Source organism: Homo sapiens, chromosome 1 (assembly GCF_000001405.40).
Source record: "Homo sapiens chromosome 1, GRCh38.p14 Primary Assembly".
NCBI classification, from domain to species: domain Eukaryota; kingdom Metazoa; phylum Chordata; class Mammalia; order Primates; family Hominidae; genus Homo; species Homo sapiens.
Genome location: NC_000001.11, coordinates 21,692,429 through 21,716,905, shown reverse-complemented (window position 1 = coordinate 21,716,905; position 24,477 = coordinate 21,692,429). Strand labels below are relative to the sequence as shown.

General features: G+C 40.7%; 1 protein-coding gene across 17 annotated transcripts in view; it reads left to right on the top strand.

The window, feature by feature from the left end:
• USP48 (ubiquitin specific peptidase 48) overlaps positions 1-24,477 on the top strand; it is a 104,852-nt gene that overhangs the window by 66,244 nt on the left and 14,131 nt on the right. For 11 of the 17 annotated variants that reach the window (XM_047432030.1, NM_001350164.2, NM_001350166.2 and 8 more), the window contains 9 exons: positions 1,449-1,517; positions 10,038-10,162; positions 10,317-10,439; positions 10,719-10,780; positions 11,069-11,179; positions 12,514-12,644; positions 13,288-13,394; positions 15,304-15,408; positions 21,685-21,840. In XM_047432030.1, the coding sequence (XP_047287986.1) occupies positions 1,449-1,517; positions 10,038-10,162; positions 10,317-10,439; positions 10,719-10,780; positions 11,069-11,179; positions 12,514-12,644; positions 13,288-13,394; positions 15,304-15,408; positions 21,685-21,840 (989 nt within the window). Of the gene's footprint in view, positions 1-1,448; positions 1,518-10,037; positions 10,163-10,316; positions 10,440-10,718; positions 10,781-11,068; positions 11,180-12,513; positions 12,645-13,287; positions 13,395-15,303; positions 15,409-21,684; positions 21,841-24,477 lie in introns of those variants that run through there. The other 6 variants (XM_047432026.1, XM_047432031.1, XM_047432027.1 and 3 more) reach the window with 2 other exon arrangements.

Genomic DNA, 24,477 nt, shown 5'->3' with positions numbered 1-24,477 from the left:
CAGGGGCCCGCCACCATGCCTGGCTAATTTTTTGTATTTTTAGTAGAGACGAGGTTTCACTGTGTTAGCCAGGATGGTCTCGATCTCCTGATCTCGTGATCCACCCGCCTCAGCCTCCCAAAGTGCTGGTATTACAGGCGTGAGCCACCACGCCTGGCCCCCATGGATAATGATTTTAATCATACTTAAGGATTCTTCATTTGATCCTGTTCCCAGTATATACAACTATAAATTGATAGTGACACAGTGTAAAAAAGTAAGAAAAGCAGATACTGGAAGAGAAATGTTAACAGCAAAAGCAAAGTTTTTATTATATAGTGGTCCACCCTTATGCAAGGTTTTGCTTTTCATGATTTCAGTTAACCTGCAGTGAACTGCAGTCTGAAAATATTACATGGAAACTTCCAGAAGTAAACAATTCATAAGTTTTAAATTTCACACTGTTCTGAGTAGCATGATGATATTGTATCTCATACCCTCCTGCTTCATCCTGCCTGCGACATGAGTTTTCCCTGTGTCCAGCTTATCTGTGCTATACATGCTACTGACTGGTCACCTAGCAACCCTCTTGGTGCTCAGATTGACTGTAGGAGTGCCTGTGTTCAAGTTACCCTTATTTTACTTAATAATGATCTCAAAGTGGAAGAGTGGTAATGTTGGCAATTCAGGTATGTCAAAAAGAAGCCACAAAGTGCTTCCTTTAAGTGGAACGGTGGAAGTAAGTTCTTGATTTAAATAAGGAAAGAAAAAAAATCATATGCTGAGGTTACTAAGATCTATAGGAACAAATCTGTCTGTGAGATTAAGAAGGAAAAAAATTCATGCTAGTTTTGCTGTCACACTACAAACTGTAAGTTATGGCCACAGTGTGAGTTAAGATGGAAAAGGCATTAAACTTGTGGGTGGAAGACATGAACAGAAATGTGCCAATGGATGTTTATTGAGTTCGGTGGTAGGTTTTAGGCATCCATTGAGGGTCTTAGAACATATGCCCTGACTGATCAGCGGGGAGTACTCTGTTTGATGATAAAGGTTAAGTCCTTATTTAATTTGCCTTTAATGCTTTGTGTTCACCCCCAAAAAGTGTAGGTAGGTGAAAATGACATGCCATGACATGACATGTAGATGATTAACTTGGTTTATGACACAGTATTCTCGATACTTTGACTAGAATTAATAGAAGAATTCCATTTTTTGAATTTAAAAAAGCACATTTTCTTGCATAACCTAAATCTTTAAAAGTTAACTGTCATTGAGATGTTCCTCTTTCCTTTTAAGGGAAAGAAATATAACACTTTTTAGCAGAACTGTGTAGGAATCACATGGGTCTAATTTTCAGAGTTTTAAAGTTTTCTTTGTTCCAAATTGTGCAGAGTAGTATATCTGCTACTTTCAACTTTAAGTACACAATAACCACAGCAGATATCATTTGTATTTCTTTTGATTAGATGAATCAAAGGAAGAAAGAAAAGAAGAGGAGGAATTAAATTTTAATGAAGATATTCTGTGTCCACATGGTAAGCTAGAAGCATAAATGAATTCTGTTTTATTGTCCTTTTTTTTACTTTTAGCTTCTACTGCCTGGCTTTCATGCCAGTATCTCTCACATCTTACCTGGGAAAAATTTTTTTTAATAGAATTTCCCCATATTTAGAGGAAATCATTGGAAAAGAAACTTCTTGTCACTTGTTCCATTGAAGTGCTTTTGAATTTGAAGTATTGAATTTCAGTTGTTTCCCATGACTGTCATTGTCCAAGTTAAACACTTTGAGAATAGTGCTCGTATGTTTCTTCTTCTTCATCTTGTTAGGGCTATCTATGGTTTTTTATTTATTTTTTTATCTGTGCAACAAGATCTCTGACTGTCACTGTCCTAGCTTAGTGCAGCATCAACATCCTGGGCTCAAGTGTTCCTCCTGCCTTGGCCTCCTGAGTAGCTGGGACCATAGGCATGCGCCATCACACCCAGCTAATTTTTAAATTTGCCTCCCACCTTGGCCTTCCATAGTGGTGGGATTATAGGCACGAGCCACTGGGCTCGGCTTGGTTTAGTTTCTTGTTTGTGTATTGACCAGCTGCTGTGTACTATGTGCTAGATAATTTTTTAAAAAGCTAAATTCTAAATCCTTATTTAATCCTATGTATTGGTTCATGTATTTCTTTACTTGGTCTTGGTGAATGCTTACTTCTAACAAGTAGCTTTTACAAGATGATCGTGCAAGGGATTCATCATATATTAGGCATAATTTTCTATTCTAATAGCACCGTGAAAGTCAAGCAGGTGTCTGTTTCTCAAAGCTTTCTACTTCATAAGTTCCCCTTCCCACCTCCAAAGAGTCTGAGCACTGAGTGCTGTAGCTTGCACCTATAATCCCAGCTACTAGGAAGGCTCAGGTAGGAGGATCGCTTGAGCCCATGATTTTGAGACCAGTCTGGGCAACACAGCAAGACCCTGTCTCTAAAAAAATATTAAGTGGGTTTGGTGGTATGTGCCTGCAGTTTCAGTTTCTCAGGAGGGTGAGAGGATCACTTGACCCAGGAGTTTGAGGCTAGAGTGAGCTATGATCACGACGCTGCACTCCAGCCTGGACGACCGTGCGATACCCCATCTCTTTAAAATAAAATCAATAGGACAATAAATTTGACACAGAAAAGTTGGCTTGTCAGTGGTTCATTTTGTTAACCCATGTTCATGTGTTTCTTGTTATGTGGTAATTTATTGCTAATATTTAGGACTCCTGTTGATCCTAATGAATTCCTAACTGTAGTTCTTGTTTCATCAGTTCACTGTGAACCAGTGGATGATGTCTCATTCTTATCCCTGATGCACATTGGCACTTTTATATGAAGTGCCCTTGATGATACTAGTGATGGTGGTTGCCACTAGAGTAGTACTAGCATTCTGGATTATCTCACTGCACTTTAGCTTGCGAAGTGAGTGGCATTCCCATTTACAGGCCACACAACTAGGAAGGGGCCATCCTGGGGTGTGTGTTTGGGTCTTGGTCTCTGTGAGTCCCAAGTTCCTCTGTTCTTTCCATCGTATCACCCTATCTGTCTACTGGTTGGTCTTTTACACTACAGGTGCACAGCAGGAGAAGATGAGTTGACCTCGTGAGTGCTGAATAGCACGAGGAAATAAACAGGGGAAGGAAGTTTGGGTGAATAGCCAAAAGGAGTGTATTTTTCCAGTGATACTCTCATATCACCTTTTCTAACCTTCACAGCATAGATGTGGACATAGGATTGGTGCCTCCATATTGAGAGTTGAAGCATCTGTGGCAAAATACTGTGTCATGCTTGGTGCTACCACTTGAAACAGTGCTGGAACTTAGATTGCCCTCGTGCTCCTTAGCTCACTGACCTTTGCTCTGCCTTCCCACCTCTTATCATGTCATTTCAGTACTGACAGTTTTGAATACAAAGCATGGCAAAGCCGAATGTTGCTTCAGGACACATACTCCACTCCCCAGCCTATCAGAAATTGTACATAAGAGGCCGGGCACAGTGGCTTCACACCTGTAATCCCAGCACTTTGGGAAGCCAAGGTGGGAGGATCACTTGAGTCCAAGAGTTTGAGACTAGCCTTGGCATCATGGCAAGACCCCATCTCTACAGAAAGATCAAGAAATTAGCCAGGGGTGGTGATCGTATGCATCAGTTTTCCCAGCTACATGAAAGGCTACATTGAGAGGGTTACCTGAGCCCAGGAGGTCGAGGCTGCAGTGAGCCATATTCACGTGCCACTGTACTCCAGCCTGGGCGACCAAGCAAGACCTTGTCTCAAAACAAAACAAAAAAGAAAGAGAGAGTGAGAAAGAGAAAGAAAGAAAGGGAGGGAGGGAGGGAATGAGAAAGGGAGTGAGGGAGAGAGGAAGAAATTGTATACAAGGGTTATTTTTTTAGGCTGTTGTCTTGATCTGTAACTCTAGTGTTTTGATGCCATACTTTGTTCTCTAATATTTTAAAGGATAGTATGACTGGGTGTGGTGGCTCACGCCTGTAATCCCAGCACTTTGGGAGGCTGAGGCAGGCGGATCAGTTGAGGTCAGGAGTTTGAGACCAGCCTGGCCAACATGGTGAAACCCCATCTCTACAAAAATACAAAAATTAGCTGGATGTCATGGTGGACGCCTGTAATCCCACCTACTCGGGAGGCTGACCCAGGAGAATTGCTTGAACCCAGGAGGCGGAGGTTGCAGTGAGCCAAGATGGCACCCCTGCATTCTAGCCTAGGCAACAGAGCAAGACCCTGTCTCAAAAAAAAAAAAAAAAAAGGATAGTTTTCTACCTTTGTTTTTGTGTTACGTTATCTGCCAGCATACCATGCGTCCAGGGTAAAATGTTTCTGGTATAGGATACCCAGCCTTACTTAGAAATCCACTTTACTCATTAAGTTTCTGTTAAAACCACTTTCTGGAGGTGTGCTGATGATGTTGGTAAGAGGAGGATTATAGTGGGCAATTATTGAATGTTTACCATTTGCCTGTAGTTTTCCACATTTATAAATATTAACTCATTTTATCTATTTTGTTTTGGTTTTTTTTGAGATGGCGTCTCACTGTGTCGCCCAGGCTGGAGCGCAATGGTGCAGTCTCGGCTCACTACAACCTCCACCTTCTGGGTTTAAGTGATTCTCCTGCCTCAGCTTCCCAAGTATCTGGAACTATAGGCATGTGCCACCACTCCCAGTTAATTTTTGTATTTTTAGTAGATATGGGGTTTTGCCATGTTGGCCAGACTGGTCTCGAACTCCTGACCTCAGTTGATCTGCCTGTCTTGGCCTCCCAAAGTGCTGGGATTACAGGCGTCAGCCATCATGCCCATCCAACTCATTTAATCTTATAACAACTCTGTGCTATCAGTATATTATCACATCCATTCTACTGATGAGTAAGTAAACTGAGGCACAGAGAGGCAAGAGTCACCTGTCTAGGATCACCATACTGAATGGATAATTTTGCCTAGGTATTTAGTTGTCTGTTGGAAATATTTTTTCCGTGAAAATTTAAGAGACTTTTGTGGTAGTGCTCTGGACGTACCATTCAGAAGTCCAAAGCCATTGTTTCTTGGTAATTTTTCTCCACTTCAGTTTCTGGTAGGCTTGTAAGATCTTTGTCCCCAATGTTGTACGGGTTCATTTATTATGCTAGGCACTCTGTGGAAGCCAGGTGTGTTTTGGAGGGGCTTGGTGACTGAGCTTCACTAGTTCGGAGCCCCAGCTGGCTTGTTTCACTGGGAAATTCCCAATGGCACTGTCTGCTATTGGGCCACTAAGGTTTTTCCGTAAGTATCTTTTATTTGCCTGCCTGGAAAATTCAGACCTGCTGTCGCTCTTCGGAAGCTGTAGAAAGAAGAGGACTTAGGAGTCCCTGCATTGAAGAGTGGAAAGGTTTAATTATCCCTGTCTCAGCTTGTCACTTCATTTGTCTCTGTGTTTTGTGTCCCCTGTTCAGGGGCCTTAGGTTTTGTTGTCCTAGAATAAGCATCTAGTCTTTTGTGGCTAGAGGGGGCAGTGATCTCAAGGGCAGAGAAGGGGACTGAGCATCTAACTACATACTTCTTAAATAGACTTTCCATCCCTTCTCTCATTTTTTGTAAATCCCTACCTTTACTTCATGAGGACCCAGTTTTTGGGTCTGTGGGACAGTACTGCAGTGTAGCAAATCTGGCTACTTCTTGACTTTCGCCAACTTAGAGTTAATTTTTATTGTGTCTCATTAACCTTCTTTTAAACCCTTATAATTTTTATCCCTGTTGTTGCCTCTGTTGTCTTCATCATTATAACTGTATGTCTTTTATATATATATATAAATAATTCCTTTGGTGTGGTGGTTCACATCTATAACCTCAGCACTTCAAGAGGCTGAGGCATTTGAGAGCAGCCTGGGCAACATAGTGAGACCCCACCTCTATTTAAAAAATAAAATAAAAATTAGGCAAAGTGGCACACGGCTGTAGTCCTAGATGCCCAGGAAACTGAGGCAGGAGCATTGCTTGAGCCCAGGAGATTGTGGTTACAGTGAGCTATGATCACGCCACTGCACTCCAGCCTGGGTGACAGAGTGAGATCCTGTCTCTAAAAATAAAAGTTTTTTTTTTTTTAATTCTTTATTGTGATTTGATGATGTTTCATGAGGCACTTAAAGTAAATGCAGTTTTAAACATCATTTTAACCTGGAAAGTCCTTGATTTAAATTTTCATATTTTTATAACAAAACCCCTATATATTTCTAACGTGTTGTATGTATTTAATGTATCACAGGTTTTGTGTGAATTAGTCATTGGATTATATTCCATTGGAAGATTTACTATCCTAGAGTTCAGTATTTGTTGCAGATATTATATAACAAGCTTTATAATACAGATATTATATATATCAAGCTTTCTTACCCATTTTACTTTTTATTCCTTTAAGTGAATAACCTTCCTATAGCTTACCTTGTTTATTACACCTAGTTTGCTTAGACGATGGGCTGTGTTTTGTTTTGTTATTTTGAAAGTACTTCTTGAGATGTCCTGAGGCCCAAAGTATTATATACAGTTTGAACTAGATTGAGGGTGAGGGGTTGAGGGTCATTTATCCAGTATCTAAATTCATTGTTAACTAGATTTCTCTTTTTACCAAAGAATCTTTGAGTTTTAGATATTCTAGTTATGTTTACTGAATTGAATCTCTCTTGACTGCTTTGATCTTGTTTTGGGAGGTATTGCTCATAGAATGGATTTAGTTGATTGGCTTTCTCTTAAAATTTAAGAAATAACATGTTTCATTGCAGGATACAAGTTTAATTTCTAACAATTTATGTGTCCCAGTGAAAAGAGCAACCCAAATTTATTTAACTATTTTGAGGTCATAGACAATATTCAAGTATATTTACTTCATTATCATTCATTACATTAATTTAATTAATTGTATTAATATTCATAGTTAATATTAATGATATATTAACAACTACTATGGTAGTAATTATTAGAATAATAGGAAATTATATTTAGAAACTCAGCTAACAAGTAGAGTGAAGGACTATATATTTTTATTACCAACTAGACTACAGTAAAATGACTATTTAATATTATTCTGATCTCAGAAATGAATTTGGGTTGTTCTTTCCTTGTCATATGAAAAACACTCATCCCACTTAAAAGCCAGTCACTACCTAAAAGTACCCCCACATCAGAATGAAGCCGTGCACCCACAGTGTCTGTGGTCTCCTCTGCTCATTTAATAGTAAAGTTTGTGTGTGCATTCCCATTATTGTTTCCTCATAACCACATGGGGTTATACCACACACAAAGAAGCTCTCTTTTTTTTTTTTTAAAGCATAAAAAGGAAACCATTTAAATATTGTAGTTGCCGTGGAGTTCTTTCCAAATCAGGTCATGGAAATCTACCTTAATCTTTTTTATGGTTACGTTGTATTTCACATAAGGACTTACTAAGTTAAGGTTTGATAATCCAATTAACCTTTTTCTTTCATTTTTAAAAATAAATTCCCTAATTGTGTCTGAGGATGGGCACGTTAGAATAAGTTTTCATAGACTCACGGGAAATTTAAATTAACAGCCCACCCAGAAGGAAATACATGTTTACATTCTGACCCCATTTCTCTGGTAACAAGTCTGTTAAAGCAAAATAATCTTTTGGGGATTATTCAAAGATCCAGAAGAGGTGAGGGGTAGAAGTTAAGTTGCATTCTGAGGTATTATAAATTATAGGGACCAGGCATAGTGGCTCATGCTTATAATCCCAGCATTTCTGGAGGCTGAGGTAGGACGGTTGCTTAAAACCAGAAGTTCGAGAGACTCCCTCTCTACAAAATAAAATATTAGGCGGGCATGGTGGCTCATGCCTGTTAGCCAGACTACTCAGGAGGCTAAGGCAGGAGGATCGCTTGAGCCCAGGAGGTCGAGGCTGCAGTGAGCTATGATCGTGCCACTGTACTCCAGCCCAGGGGACAGAATGAGACTCTGTTTTCTTTTCTTTTCTTTTCTTTTCTTTCTTTTTTTTTTTTTTTTTTGAGACGGAGTCTTGCTCTGTCACCCAGGCTGGATTACAATGGTGCGATCTTGGCTCACTGCAACCTCTGCCTCCCGGGTTCAAGCGATTCTCCTGCCTCAGCCTCCCATGTAGCTGCAATTACAGGTGCACACCACCACTCCCGGCCAATTTGTTTTGTATTTTTAGTAGAGACAGGGTTTCACCATTTTGGTCAAGCTGGTCTTGAACTCCTGACCTTGTGATCCACTCACCTCAGCCTCCTAAAGTGCTGGGATTACAGGCGTGAGCCACTGCCCCCGGCCTGTTTTCTATTAAATAAATAAATAAATTTTAAAATATATTATGGGGTTCGAATGAGCTATAGACCTGGGTTTGTTTGTTTGTTTGTTTGTTTGTTTTTGTTTTTTGAGACAGAGTCTTGCTCCTCGCCCAGGCTGGAGTGGAATGGCACAATCTTGGCTCACTGCAACCTCTGCCTCTTGCATTCAAACGATTCTTCTGCCTCAGCCTCCTGAGTAGCTGAGATTACAGGTGCCTGCCACACACCTGGCTAATTTTTGTATTTTGAGTAGAGACGGGGTTTCGCCATGTTGGCCAGGCTGGTTTCAAACTCCTGACCTCGTGATCTGCTCCCCTCAGCCTCCCAAAGTGCTGGGCTTACAAGTGTGAACCACCAAGCCCAGCCTCAGACCTAGTTTTGTTTTGTTTGTTTTGTTTTGTGTTGTTTTGTTTTGTTTTTTTGAGATGGCGTCTCTCTCTGTTGCCCAGGCCAGAGTGCAATGGTGGTTATCTTGGCTCACTGCCACCTCTGCCTCCTAGGCTCAAGGAGTCCTCTTGCCTCAGCCTCTGGAGTAGCTGGGACTACAGGCAAGCACCACCATACCTGGCTGATGTTGGTATTTTTAGTAGACGCAGGGTTTCATCATGTTGGCCAGGCTGGTCTCAAACTCCTGACAAGTGATCCACCTGCTTCAGCCTCCGAAAGTGCTGGGGATTACAGGAGCAAGCCTCTGTGCCTGGCCTATAGACCTGGTTTCGTATCCCAGCTTTATTACTCACTAGCTGTACTCTGCCTGGTTATATTCATCTTTCTAAATTCATTTATTATGGAAAGTGTAGTATGTATTTAGAAAGCTCATGGCTTTATTACTCTTAATAAATCTGTAGGTACCTTGCCAATGGGTGCAGAAACAAACATATGACTTTAGAAATTTAAAGATAGTTTTCTGGGTAATGACCGATATGGGTAGATAAGTGAAGTTCACTAACTTACTGCTTGGGAACAGCTGAAACAACAGTAAGTATAACCACAAGTAGAGCCAGAGGAGAAAGGTCCTGGCAGGGTGGCGGTGACTAGTATTATTTTTTTATATCTTCTGGGATTTTTGAAGATTGAAGGGGATCTTCAAAATAAATTGCAAATAGCAAAGAAGTTGGTGCTTGACTGGAGATGGTTTTCAGATTGAGCAGTAGATTGCTTTATCTTCTGTTTGAATTGATAACTTTGAATTGATAACTTAAGGCAGTGGTCTTGTGATGGCTGGACACAGCTTACAAAATATTATTTTAATGCAGTGTGATTTCAAGATTAGTCAAATGGGAGGCAATAAAGTCTGCAGGAAATGATAACCTTTGAGTGTGGGAGTAGATGTAATTTTGTTAAGCAGCGCTTGCCATGGCACAGAGGTCCCAGGACTCCTGGAATCCCATTTTTGACTACTTCCTTCCTTGCAAGGAGAAAGAAAATGCACGGTTTTAGCTTTGTACGTTTGTTTTTATCTCATGATTTTTTTTTCAATCACAGACCTAGATTAAGGACGTAAAATTGAGGTTAATGGCTACCTCCTTTAGAATTAAAATGAAATCGGAAATTCAGAAGTTTTTGAAAACAAGAAAAGAGAGCTAGAAATACCAAACTTTAGCAAAGCAAGAAAAGCGTACCTGTGGATTTTTCTTAAGTTTAAGAAATAGGAAATAGATAATGACTTTTTTTCAGCTGTTTTTTTTTTTTCCAAATATATTTTTTTAAACTCAGGTGAGTTATGCATATCTGAAAATGAAAGAAGGCTTGTTTCTAAAGAGGCTTGGAGCAAACTGCAGCAGTACTTTCCAAAGGCTCCTGAGTTTCCAAGTTACAAAGAGTGCTGTTCACAGTGCAAGGTACTGAACGCTACTGACATCTGGGGAAATGGCATGCCACCTCCCTGGGTTGACTTCCCAGGGGAATTAACACTGTACTTCTGACGGGGGTGTAGGGAGGAGGCAGGTCATGTGCTGTCAGCAGGAGACAGTTGATTGCTTCATTCTCTTTCAGATTTTAGAAAGAGAAGGGGAAGAAAATGAAGCCTTACATAAGATGATTGCAAACGAGCAAAAGACTTCTCTCCCAAATTTGTTCCAGGATAAAAACAGACCGTGTCTCAGTAACTGGCCAGAGGTATAATGATTCCCACAAAAGAAAGAATGCATCTTTTCTTTTTAAAGCCCTTGCCAAATTCCCAGTGAGCTATTTCAGAACAACCCAGAACTTCTCATATTCTCATTTGTTTAGTTATCTAACCAGGGGATTTACTCCAGCCTGCTATTTTTTGGTAGAGGACTGTGTTTTCATTTTATTTATAAAACTTGAATAAGGACAACCAAAGTATATTATAAGGAATTTGTGTTAAGCAGGCGGTGAATTGACGGATACTGTTTTGTGATTTTTGTGTTCTAGGATACGGATGTCCTCTACATCGTGTCTCAGTTCTTTGTAGAAGAGTGGCGGAAATTTGTTAGGTAGAAACAAAATATGTTTTATTTCCTTTATTGTTACTGATTTGGTTGACTCTGGTATTTTTTAAGATATCGTGGATTCTGTTTGTTGTACCCTTCCTTCATGGTTACTTTCACCAGCATACACTGAAAGCTTTCTTTTCTATTAATTAAATGAATAAGCCTAAGAAACACATTGAATTACTAATATTTTCTTAAATATATCTCTGATTTTGAAATAATTATTTTAAAATCTTCTCTTTCGTCATGCAGTAATTAGGTATATTTCTCCTCCTTGTCTCATTTGAGTAGAAAGCCTACAAGATGCAGCCCTGTGTCATCAGTTGGGAACAGTGCTCTTTTGTGTCCCCACGGGGGCCTCATGTTTACATTTGCTTCCATGACCAAAGAAGATTCTAAACTGTGAGTTCCTTCTCTTCATGTGATTTTTTTTTCTTCTTTTCTCTTTTTGATGATTAATAAAATATGTTTAGGAAATTTCTCATCTGACATAGTCTGTTTTAAGAATTTAGTCCTTTGCTGAATTGTGGGGTTTTTTTTTCCCCTTTTAAAAGAGAAGAAGACTGCTTCTCCAGGAAAGACAAGAGGCTGCCCGAGGCTATTTGTCTTTTTGCTCTTTCCTTGTCCCTCTTGAAGACAACACAGCCACCCTTTCTCTTCCCCCGCTGCTGGTGACCAGTGCTGAGACCTCTTTTCCAGAATCACAGAATCAACATGGTCTTGGTTATAGGTTTTGTTCTGCCATGGCCAGGCTTCAGACAATTAAAGGAGGAGGCTAGCAGGGTGGCAGAGCAAAGCCACTGCACTGGTCATCTGGAATTCTAGGGTCTTAGAACCCAAATTTTATTCCATGCTTCAAGTACTTCCAGAGGTGTTCATCTGTGAATTTCTCCCGATTTTACCAAAAATCGTGATATACGAGAAGGTAGAATGCTTCCAACATTGTCAGAAAATCAGGAAAAGGAAATTGGAACACATAAATAAAAATGCCCTTGGGGTTAAGCTAGAGTTTTATTATTCATATTTCAGTACTTTAACATCATTTAAGGGAGTTCAAAGTTTATATATTCTCTACATTTTCTCCCTCCTCTTTCTCTCCCTCCCTCTCTGCATCCCGCCTTCCCTGTTGCTCTCTCACTCTCGCTGTGCATCTCTCTTCTCTTTCCTCCCTCCCTTTCTTCCTGTCGTTGTTATTGCAAATGTCAGACTTCCAGGAAAATACACCAGTAAGCAAATGTGTGTTACCATTCAGTTTAAAAGTTAAATGGTTCAAATATGATTAAAGGCCCCACAGTGCTTATCCTTCTGTTGCTACTTCTCTTTCTCCCACCCTTCCTCTCACACTAACCACTGTACTGAATTTAGAGTTTATCTGTCTCAGAAAGTATTCTGTAAAAAAAAAAAATGCACGCACATAATGTCTTGCATATTTAAAACTTTTTATATAAATGGCACCATACTGTATTTATACTTCTGCAACTAACTTATTTTACTCAATTATGTTTTTGAGATCTAACCATGTTGATTCATGTAATTTCAGTCCATTTAGTTTCGCTGCTGTGGTAACATTCCTTTGTATGAAAAACTATTCTTTGTTGATGATACGTATCTTTTCTCTCTAATTCCTTTGGATTAAATGTTAGTGTTAATGGTTTTGGTTTAGCAGACTAATGGATTATGTTAATTCTCTTAATTTCCATGTGTCTTAAGGCATGTTGTGTTTTTTTTTTGCACAGTATAGCTCTCATATGGCCCAGTGAGTGGCAAATGATACAAAAGCTCTTTGTTGTGGATCATGTAATTAAAATCACGAGAATTGAAGTGGGAGATGTAAACCCTTCAGAAACACAGTATATTTCTGAGCCCAGTAAGTTTTCATATTGCTTTCGGTTTCTATAGTTAAGAGCTGACATTTTAAGAAGAAAGGGTGTGTCAGTGTTGTCTGCTTAAAGTTAAAGATCATGCGGCGGTCCCAACTCCCTAGGTGGAAACTCTCATTATAATCATCCCATTATTTGTACGTTTATTTATGGACAGTAAATGGATTTCCTTATCATTTGCATGTAATAGAATATAGTGGTTAATAGAAAATATTATTAAGAGTTTGGGCCAGCACACTAGCTCATACCTATAATCCTAATACTTTGAGAGACTAGGGTGGAAGGATTGCTTAAGGCCAGGAGTTTCAGACCAGCCTGAGCAACATAACAAGACCTTCTCTCTACAAAATAATAAAAATGTAGCACATATCTGTAGTCTTGAGCTACTCGCTGAGAGGCTGAGTCAGGAGCATGGCTTGAGCCCAGAAGCTTGAGGCTACAGTGAGCTATGTTCATACCACTGTACCCCAGCCTGGGTGACACAGCAAAACCTTGTCTCAAAAAAAGAAAATGTTACTAAGAGTTTAATGAATATTCACTAGTAACTTTGACATATGTTTTTAGATCTTTGATTCTTTAACAATGATTCCTCAGCCACTTCTGTTTTCCCTTTTTTTTTTTCCCCCAAAGAACTCTGTCCAGAATGCAGAGAAGGCTTATTGTGTCAGCAGCAGAGGGACCTGCGTGAATACACTCAAGCCACCATCTATGTCCATAAAGTTGTGGATAATAAAAAGGTACTGGTCCCTCTTGTGGCAATGACTAGTAATGATCAAGCGTGCTCTTTGGCTTGATTTGCTGTTGTATTTGCACTGAGGGTCTGCCTAGGACTGCATTTTTGTTCCTTCAGAGCTGTTTGGCATCAGAATTGAAATTGGACAATAATTGAAAATGAACAGTTATGTGATTATATGAGAATTTAGTTTGTTATTAATTGATGCATAGATATTTACTGAATGTCAGCTGTGTTCCAGGAATGGTCCAGGTGCTGGGGATACAGTGATAAAGAAGGCAGGTATAATACCTTCTCTCAAAATTATAGGCACCTAGTGAGGAAGATCAGGAATAAAGTATAAATTCATATGATTTCACACAGAAATGATTGTTTTGAAGGAACTTTAGCAGGGTCAAGTGGAGGTTAGTGTGAGACAGGGAGTAGACAGGAGAGGCGTCTTGGAGAAGTTGTTTTTACCCAAGCCCTCACTGTCAGGGATGCAGCCTGGGAAGTGTTTTCCAGACAAAGGAAACAAAGGTCAAAAGGATAAGCCTAATGTGCTTATGCAACAGAGTGAAAACCATTGCACCTAGAACAGTGCTGTCCAATAGAGCTTCCTGTGGTGATAGACAGGTTCTAGGTTCTGTATCTGTGCTGCGCACTGCAGTAGTCACTGGCCATGTGTGGCTGTGGAGCATTCGATGTGGCTAGCGTGACTGAGGAATTTAGTTTTAGTTGATTTAAAATTAAATAGCTACATGTGGCTAATGGCTACCCTAGTGGCTATTGCTGGTCTAGAATGAAATTTATTCCAAGAAGGGATCATGATATGGAATGAACGACCATACACTATCAGGTTTTATACATCATACCAAGGATTTGGGTTTATTCCCAGTGTAGATATAAGCCCCTGGAGAGTTTCAAGCAAGGTCATGATATGATCTGATTTATAGTTTAAAAAAAATCACCCTGGCTATAGTGTTTGGAATTGCTGTGAGGGCATAACAGAAATAAGAGAGGTCAGTTAGAGCCTCTTCCATTGACCTGCAAGGATAGGTGAAATTGATTGGATATGTTTGGGAAGTGGAGGTGTTAATACTTGCTTGGATTGGATTTCCAAGCATTTTTATTATATTAGGGATGGCTCTTGGGTAGATCCTGACCCATATCTCTAGATATCTTATTAATTTATTTAATTCCATGCTTTCTGGGATTAAAGACAAAATGGAATACATTTTATTTGATGCTTGTTTCCAAACACATTTTTTAGAAGGGTAACTTATAATTATGCCCTGGAGGCCAAGGGTTCTGCTTTACAAGCTAAATAAACTAAGGCCTTCATTTCCTAATTTGCCGAGAAAATGAAGTTAATGAGTATAAATGTCTCTGTTTCTCCCTGTAAAATTTTCTTAAATCTTTTGTTCTCTGGTATAAAATATTATCCAATTTAGATGTAGTTTCATTATTCAGTTTAATAAGAGTATTTCATAGTGTTTGCAAGAGAGCGCTTCTTCCATCTTTCGTTTTCTCAATTCTTAAAGAGCATGTAACTCCTGCCACTTGAATAGTTTGAGAACTTGAAAAGGCTTGGCAATCAGTGTGCTCGGGAAGGTGTCAAGCACCTTCGAACTTCTGCAAAATAACATCATTGTACAAGACTGATAATAATAACTGCTCTGCAGAGACCTCTTAAATGTATGGTGAGCACATTAAATACTACAAGAATAAGTCATAGGGTAAAAAACTAACATGTTAAAAGAGCATAGAAAACCGTGAAGGCTTGATTCTTGATCCACTCTCCAGTCTATAATCCCACCATGATAAAGGTGTTCCTCGTCTTGATAAAGGTTGCCGGTCCCAGCCCCCACATCCTCCATAGCCTGCCTTCCTAGGGTCTGACCTACTTCTCTTTGTTGTCCTGGCACATTCAGGTGATGAAGGATTCGGCTCCGGAACTGAATGTGAGTAGTTCTGAAACAGAGGAGGACAAGGAAGAAGCTAAACCAGATGGAGAAAAAGATCCAGATTTTAATCAAGTATGTGTTGAAGCTGCTTTTCATTGTTATACTTTCTGCTGTTCTTATAGAGCAGCCACTCGAAGCCCCTGGCCATGTCTCTGTACCCTGTATGGGATATTGGTTCTTTTTTTTTCTTTTTTTTTTTTTTTTGAGATGGAGTCTCGCACTGTTGCCTGTGCTGGAGTGCAATGGCACTATCTCAGCTCACCACAATGTCCGCCTCCTGGGTTTAAATGATTCTCCTGCCCCAGCCTCCTAAGTAGCTGGGATTATAGGCGCCCACCACCACACCCGGCTAATTTTTTATATTTTTAGTAGAGACGGGGTTTCACTGTGTTGGCCAGGCTGGTCTCGAACTCCTGACCTCGTGATCCGCCCACCGCAGCCTCCCAAAGTGCTGAGATTACAGGCAGGAGCCACCGCACCCGGCCTTTTTTTTTTTTTTTTTTTTGAGATGGATCCTAGCCTTGTCAACCAGGCTGGAGTACAGTGGCACAATCTCGGCTCGCTGCAACCTCCACCTCCCAGGTTCAAGTGATTCTCCTGCCTCAGCCTCCCAAGTAGCTGGGATTACAGGCATGCGCCACCACTCCTGGCTAATTTTTTGTATCTTTAATGGAGACGGGGTTTCACCTAGGCTGGTCTTGAACTCCTGATGTCATGATCCTCCCGCCTTGGCCTTCCAAAGTGCTGGGATTATAGGCGTGAGCCACCGCATCCGGCCCATAAATTGTCTTTTGAGAACAGGAAATCGTGGGAATATGGTTGATGTAGGTGGAGATAAGTTTCAGCTTCTCAAAAAGTCAGACCCCCACATTGGAGGATATTTTGTACTTTAAACTCATGGATTTTCTACTCAAAGTTTTATTTTTAACAGATGAGATGTTTGTTTTCTTTCTTTACTACTAAAATAGTGTAGTGAAATTGTGGATGGTGTTCTCCCTGAAAGAATGAAAGTGTTACAATAGCCATCTGCAATATCTGTGACAGGGCAGAGGTATCTGGGCTTGTTGGCCTGTCTGCATGTTGATACTGTTACTTCATTTTTAACATTGATTGAGAGAGTCTGAAAAGCCGTCTTGATTTGAATCTTGGTGTGCCCAAAATAAATGTTACTTGTGGTTTCCCAACCGGTGTAAAGGGATGTCAGCATTTGTTTTCCGTGGCTTATTGGCGCTCATAAAATAACCTCAAAACACCTGTGAAGAAGCAAAATCATGCAGTTTGTGACAGTGATCAGCCACTCTTTAAGTTGTCCTTCCCAGTCTGTATTTCAGTCAGTCAACACTGGAGGGCCCTTTGCTTCAGTGCTAACCAAATCTGTACACTTGATGAGAATGCAGGTTTTCAGTTTAAAGGGGATATTTTTCTATAGTAAGTGATGCCCTTATTAAACTCTGTGTGCATATATACATCTTGTGCTCCTTGGCATAAGGAACAGGGTAAAGAAGGGCAGCAAAGTCATGTCTGCAAACGCTTGTGGAGACATATTAGTTGACTCTACTAATATGTCTCCACAAGCGTTTGCAGACATGACTTTGCTGCCGCCCTTTACCCTGTTGTCAACTCTGTTTTCATGTCCCCATCTCTGTGGCGGGGACATCTCTGTGGTCTATACAAGCCATCTTTCGAGCCACATTTGTGCAAACTCGATTGTGTGCTTTTCAGTTGATATATTAAAAGTGTGTGTGTGTGTGTGTGGCCAGGCGCAGTGGCTCACGCCTGTAATTCCAGCATTTTGGAAGGCCGAGGCGGGTGGATCACTTGAGGTTAAGAGTTCGACACCAGCCTGGCCAACATAGTGAAACCCGTCTCTACTAAAAATACAAAAAAAATTAGCCGGGCGTGGTGGCGGGCACTTGTAGTCCCAGCTACTCAGGAGGCTGAGGCAGAAGAATGGCATGAACCCAGGAGGCAGAACTTGCAGTGAGCTGAGATCACGCCACTGCACTCCAGCCTGGGTGACAGAGCGAGACTCCGTCTCAAAAATAAATAAATAAATAAAAATACAAAAATTAGGCCAGGCACGGTGGCTCATGCCTGTAATTCCAGCACTTTGGGAGGCTGAGGCGGGCAGATCACGAGGTCAGGAGATTGAGACCATCCTGGCTAACACAGTGAAACCCTGTCTCTACTAAAAATACAAAAAATTAGCCGGGCGTGGTGGCGGGCACCTGTAGTCCCAGCTACTCGAGAGGCTGAGGCAGGAGAATGGCGTGAACCCAGGAGGCGGAGCTTGCGGTGAGCCGTGATCTCGCCACTGCACTCCAGCCTGGGCGGCAGAGCAAGACTCAGCCTCAAAAAAAAAAAAAAAAAAAAAAAATTAGGTGTGGTGGTGTGGGCCTGTAATCCCAGGTACTGGGGAGGCTGAGGTATGAGAATTGCTTCAACCTGGGAGGTGGAGGTTGCAGTGAGCCGAGATTGTGCCACTGCACTCCAGCTTGGGCGACAGAGCAAGACTCTGTGCATGTACATGCATTTGGGTGTATGGGTGTACATATCCATCCCGATTCAGGACTCCATTCTCTTTTGTCTGTTTGGCTGGCAGTACCGTATGTTTTAGTTATTATCACTTGGTAGTATGGCTTAATAATCAGTTGGGAATCAAATTTTTTTATTTTGAGACCAAGTATTGCTCTGTCGTCCAGGCTGGAGTGCAGTGGTGCCATCTCGGCTCACTGCAAGCTCCGCCTCCGAGGTTCAAGCCATTCTCCTGCCTCAGGCTCCCCAGTAACGGGGACTACAGGCGCCCGCCACCACGCCCAGCTAATTTTTTGTATTTTTTAGTAGAGACGGGGTTTCACCGTGATATCCAGGATGGGGGAATCAAATCTTTTATTGCCTGCTGTCACTAATTATCTGTTCTCTGGTTAACTTTGTAAATTAGTTTGTTAAACTTGACACAATGTTCTTACTGTCTTTAGTTTGTTATTTTAAGCTTTGCTTTTCACCCTAAGAGTTATTTAGAAACTATCTACATTTTCAAGTGATTTAGATTTTAGAAAGCTAACTTTTTTTTGGTGGTCTAGTTTTATTCATTGTGGTCATGACCACAGCAATTTTTTCAAAGTGTATGTGGAATCACTCTCCTTAGTTGTGGATGACAACAGATTTCACGTTTATAAATATGATAGAGAATGTTGGGGAACATTGCTTTTTATACTGTAATTATTTTTTATACTTTATAATTTTCTTCTGTCTTCCTTTTCCTTCTTTGGATATTGTAATACTCTAAAATGTTTTACATTTTGCTTTCTCACAAAAAATTTTTGGCTCACAAAAAATCTCAAGTGTAACCTTCCTCTTTGGAAAAGAATAGATAGTCCCTGAAAAATGTTCAGCATTTTCAAAATGTCACCCTCCTCATCACATATCTCAGTACAAAGATAGCTTCTGTAATTGCTGCTTTAAATCCCTGTAATAAAAAATGATGCATTTCTGCTTGTCCTTAGTGGAGATAAACAAATCCCTTTTCCTCTTTTCTCTAAGCTAGATCAACCCAACTCCTTTGACTTCATCTAAAAATTTAGGTTAATAATATACTCGGTATTGGGTATCACTTAGGTAATTGAAAGCCTTCTAAAACCAGTGGGCTGGGTTTTTTTGTCAGTTAAGTTGGATTTAAATTCTCCAGATTAAGAAAGAAATAATTCCAGGAAAAGCCTTTAGATCCATTTAAAATCAGAGTTATTAAAAAATCTGTCTTGCTTGATGCTCAGGGTTTTGGTTTTTGGTTGTGTTTTGTACTTCTAAAATAAAATTATATGTTGATGTAGTTATTTTTCTTTATATTCCTGATTGTAGAATTTGGGTTCAATTTGACCTTTTCTTTTCTTTCTTTTTTTTTTTTTTTGAGATGGAGTCTTGCCCTGTTGCCCAGGCTGGAGTGCAGTGGTGCAATCTCAGCTCACTGCAAGCTCTGCCTCCCGGGTTCACGCCATTCTCCTGCCTCAGCCTCCCAAGTAGCTGGGACTACAGGCGCCCACCACCAAGCCCGGCTAATTTTTTGTATTTTTAGTAGAGACGGGGTTTCACCATGTTAGCCAGGATGGTCTCAATCTCCTGACCTTGTGATCCGCCCACCTTGGCCTCCCAAAGTGCTGGGATTACAGGCATGAGCCACCACGCCTGGCCTGACCTTTTCTTTCAACAGTCGAGACTGAGAAAAATGTTTCATCGGGTTTCATTTTTTTTTTTTCTTTTTAACTCACATGTGCACTTAACTTTTTCTCGTGAATCTTAGAATCACTCAGTTGCCTATGTAGATTCAGGGCTAGAGCTAAACTATCCTCAGGCAGTGTCTCGCCAGTGGTCGGCACCCTGAACAAATGCTCTTCTGTGTTTGGGTCTTGATCACCTTCTGCTTTGTAAACTGTGGAGCCCATGAGTAATGAGTATGTGGCATCTGTGTCTATAATGACCGTTAAACCACTTTGCTTATACACGGCTGACATTCAGTGACGACTGTGGAAACCAGAGCCAGGGCCTTGAGGTTACCTCATCCAGATTTAATTAAACCAGGGGAAAAGATTTTCTTAAAAATCCTGCTTCTTTTATTCCCTGGCCTGGTTAGCAGAAGAATCTCCCCTGCGCCTCTCACTCACCCCCCATCCCCCACCGCCCCCACCGGCCACCACCACCACCTTTGGTACAAAAAGCAAAAGAATCTTGATCATTAACCTCTGATCATTAACCTCTTGATGAGGGATTTATAGGAGTACTGTAGAGGACATTTGGTCCTCATCTATTTTTTTCTTGACTGGTACCGCATGTATCATGCACACCCAGGGGCATCCTTTTTACAGCACCTTTAGGTAGTCATGGCCATCATGACATTTCCCCTCTAAAAATAAAGACAGTGTCCTACCTAATACTAATAATGTGCTCATAAATAAGAAAACTAACGAAAACTCCCTAATGTCCTCTAATACCCATACTCAGATATGTCTTGAACAGTTTTTTCCTCTCAAATCAGTATGTAATTAGGATATGTGTTGTTTGTATCACTTTAGACTTAGAATTTGGAACAGTTACTCTGTCTCCGCACCCGCTTTCTTTCCCTTCTTCTTCTCTTTTTGAGACAGAGTTTCGCTCTTGTTGCCCAGGCTGGAGTGCAGTGGCGCAATCTCGGCTCACCGCAGCCTCCGCCTCCCAGGTTCAAGCAGTTCTCCTGCCTTGGCCCCCTAGTAGCTGGGATTACAGGCATGAGCCACCATGCCCGGCTAATTTTGCATTTTTAGTAGAGAGGGGGGTTTCTCCATTTTAGTCAGGCTGGTCTCGAACTCCTGACCTCAGGTGATCTGCCCACTTCGGCCTCCCAGAGTGTTGGGATTACAGGCGTGAGCCACCATGCCAGGCTCTTTGCCTTCTTGACATTGAACTTGGACCAGTTTGATTTCTTTTAGATTGTTCCATGTTCTGTATTTGGCTGATTGCTTCTTTATGTTACTTATTTTAATTTATTTATATATCCCCTATATTCCAATTTCTGTAAATTGAAAGGTGGGCGTAAATGTTTGATTACATTCCAGTATAACATTTTTGCAAGAATATTTTATGAGTGAGTCTGTATATTTTGCCATTAGGACAAGTGGTAAAGTCTTGTTTTTAGTCAAACTAAGTTTGATTTTTTTTTATTAATGTTCCATATTTTATTTTTAAATTCACAACAGTTTATACTTAGTTTCCATGTCATTCTCAAGAAGAGAAGAAAATGTTTAAAATTCAGGTTGTTCATGAACTAAGTTTTGTAATCCTCAAGATTTTCAGTTTATTATGTTTTTCTGATGTAAGGTCTTTTTTATAAAAGAGACAGAGTCTCACTCTGTCAGCAGACTGGAGTCCAGTGGTGCGATTGTAGCTCACTGCAGCCTGGAACCACTGGGCTCAAATGATCCTCCTGCCTCAGCCTCCAAGTAGCTGGGACTACAGGCTCATGCCACCACGCCTGGCTAATTTTTGGTTGAGATGGGTCTTAATATGTTGCCTAGGCTGGTCTTGAACTCCTGGGATTATAGGTGGGAGCCTCCTCACCAAACCTTAAATGTCTCTTGTAACAAACATTTAAACTGCTTACATGCACTTAGAGGTGTGTATTACTCATTATTTTCTTTTATCAATTTTATGTGAGCCTGCTAAGAAAGTCTCGTTAGTTTCTACTCATTGTTTACATTGAATTTCAAATAGTTAAGGGACCAATAAGGAAACAGCTTTTGTTTACCTGAAAAACTTCATGAGCAAGGGTCACATTGTGGTTAATTTCAGTGCTTTCTTCATTTCCAATCTTCATTATAGAGCAATGGTGGAACAAAGCGGCAAAAGATATCCCATCAAAATTATATAGCCTATCAAAAGCAAGTTATTCGCCGAAGTATGCGACATAGAAAAGTTCGTGGTGAGAAAGCACTTCTCGTTTCTGCTAATCAGACGTTAAAAGAATTGAAAATTCAGGTGAGGGAAACATTTGTTCAAGTTTGCTCTGGACTTAAAAGGGCCTTTATGAATTCCTGCTTTCCACCTGTATTTACATATATGTATGTATCTGTGTTTTTTTCCAGAAGACTTAAAGTTTTCAAAATAGCCAAAAATCTTTTTGTGAAGATGAAAGTGAATTTTGGGTTCTGGAAACTTGGGCTGGTTCTGCAATAGCTTTCCAATAATGAGAAACGCTGGGAACCACTTAATTTGTCACATGTTGAGGTTGTGCCAGGATAACTGTTCTCTCACTTTATTGTGCTGTATGCTTTTCTTTGACCACTTAATAGGTATTGGAGGCTGTTACCAGGAACTGCTGTGAAATTTAATGGGAGATAAAAGGCAGCTTATTATTAGCGATTAGTGATTGCTTATTCACTAGGCTGTCACAGTATTTTTGGTGGCAGATAAATCTATTTGATAGATAGAGGGGGTTTTTTTTTTTTTTTTTTTTTTTTTTTTTTTTTTTGGTGAGACAGAGCCTCACTCTGTCACCCAGGCTGGAGTGCAGTGGTGCCATCTTGGCTCACTGCAACCTCCGCCTACCGGGTTCAAGCAGTTCTCTGCCTCAGCCTCCTGAGTAGCTGGGATTACAGGTGCGTGCCACCACACCCAGCTAATTTTTGTATTTTTAGTAGAGACAGGGTTTCACCATCTTGGCCAGGCTGGTCTTGAACTCCTTACCTCGTTTTCCACCCGCCTCAGCCTCCCAAAGTGCTGAGATTACAGGCGTGAGCCACCGCGCCCGGCCTTGATAGAGTTTTAAAATTATCTTTACCTTGATGTTTTCCAAATTGTTATATAGATTTATTTTAGATATGTCCTCTCCATCCCCCTCAAAGCATGCATTGCTTTACAAATCAGTTCCACGGCTGTAGTGCAGGCATTATGAAATGGTTTCATGATACTGTTATTTCTTGGTATCAATACTGAAGTACTATAAATAAGCATTCCAGTGGTAAATCTCAAACCCTAGGCAGAAGGAACTGATAAATTCAAGATGTCCATAAAAAATTCTGGCCCCTAATCTGTTTCAGTCACTGATAGATATCCAAAAAGTTGACCAAATTTCCTCCTTTGCTACTTTTATGTGGCATAGTTTACTGGTTACACATTTTTCTTGTTGCTGATATTTATCATTGTAATTGAGGCAAAAGTACAGGCCTTCCTTTGAGGGTGTTATGTATTCCAGATTGTCCTGACAACAGTATTTCCCTTGGTTGAACCCATGGCTCTGAAAATAAGTGTGTTGGCATAATATCTTTACTCTGTTATTGTACCTTTTACATCTAAGAAACCTTGTTTCTATCACTGGCTTTCTGCCTGTCATTGGGAAACCTCGAACATTCAAAACCTTTAAATTACAGAAAGAGCCCCTGTGCCTAAAGACATTTTTAAAAGCCTGTGCTGCTTTTATTATGGACTACAATTTTTGAAGAATAAACCAGAAGTCAGCAGAAATAACCCTTCCATCTGAGAGCATGTACCTGCCCGAATGAGCTGCTAGAAGATGGCAGCTGTTCACACAGCCCCCAGAGGTGCTCTTCCTGAATGTCTGTCTCATCTCCCACTCTTGCTTCAGGGACCACTGCGGGCCAAACAGAGTCAAAGAAAAGGCAGTAGAAGGTCTTTCCCCTCACTACATAGTGGTGGGAGCTTGTGAAGCTTCAACTAGATGTGAGCCTATTTGCCTGGCAGTGTGGATAGCATCAGAGTTTGTAAGGTTTGCTTGAAACATTACAAAGCTTGCTGTGTCTAATCAGTAATTCATCCACCTTTGATCCCATGAGGTTAATGAAGTACAATTTGTTCATTTCCTTTCTCAAAAGATGTGCAGTGTTTAGTTGTATTATTTCATTTTCCCAAAGATAGATCTTTAGTGGGTGGGTGGTATTGCCTGCCTGAGAAAGTAGAATATTTTGGCACAGAAGTGAAATGGCTGGCAGCTGAGGCGATCGCTTCTATATTTTCTTTTTTCAGCCCCACACAGCATCGCAAGCAGAGGAGAGCCACTCCCTGATAGCAACAGGGTTTTCATGGTTCCTGTTAAGTTCCATAGACCAGGAATGCCACATCTACTTGTTAAGCAGACCTCTATCGTGTTCTTTATACTGAAGCATTCTCCTAGCACTTAGAGTTTAAGGATTATTTTACCGTAGGCCTCCCTGCCTTGGTTGGCCTGTTCCATCTTCTCTCTAGAAGCGTGTGTTCATCTTTCATATTGACCCTTCTGTGAAACCTGTCTTGGCCCCTTTCATGGAACTGACTGTCCCCCTGTGCTCGCTAGATCCTGCACATACCTTCTGCTACCATCCTCACAACTTTGTTTTGACCTCACTCCTGGAAACCCCTCTAGGGCGGGATTATTCACTTTTATATTATCAACACCTAAAACAGTACTTGACACACGGTAGCTTCTTATTAAATGCTTCATTAGTTGTTGACAGCATCTCAGTGCCCTTGTCCGTTCTCAGAATATAATGTGTGAACGTCAGCCCCTTAGTTGTGGCACTTGTGTCTAGAGGTATTTGCTGTTTGTCCAGTTTCATAGGGTAGTACAAAAACACTTAGCATTTAGGGGCATGAACAAGCATTTTTACAGTCCAGCAGCTG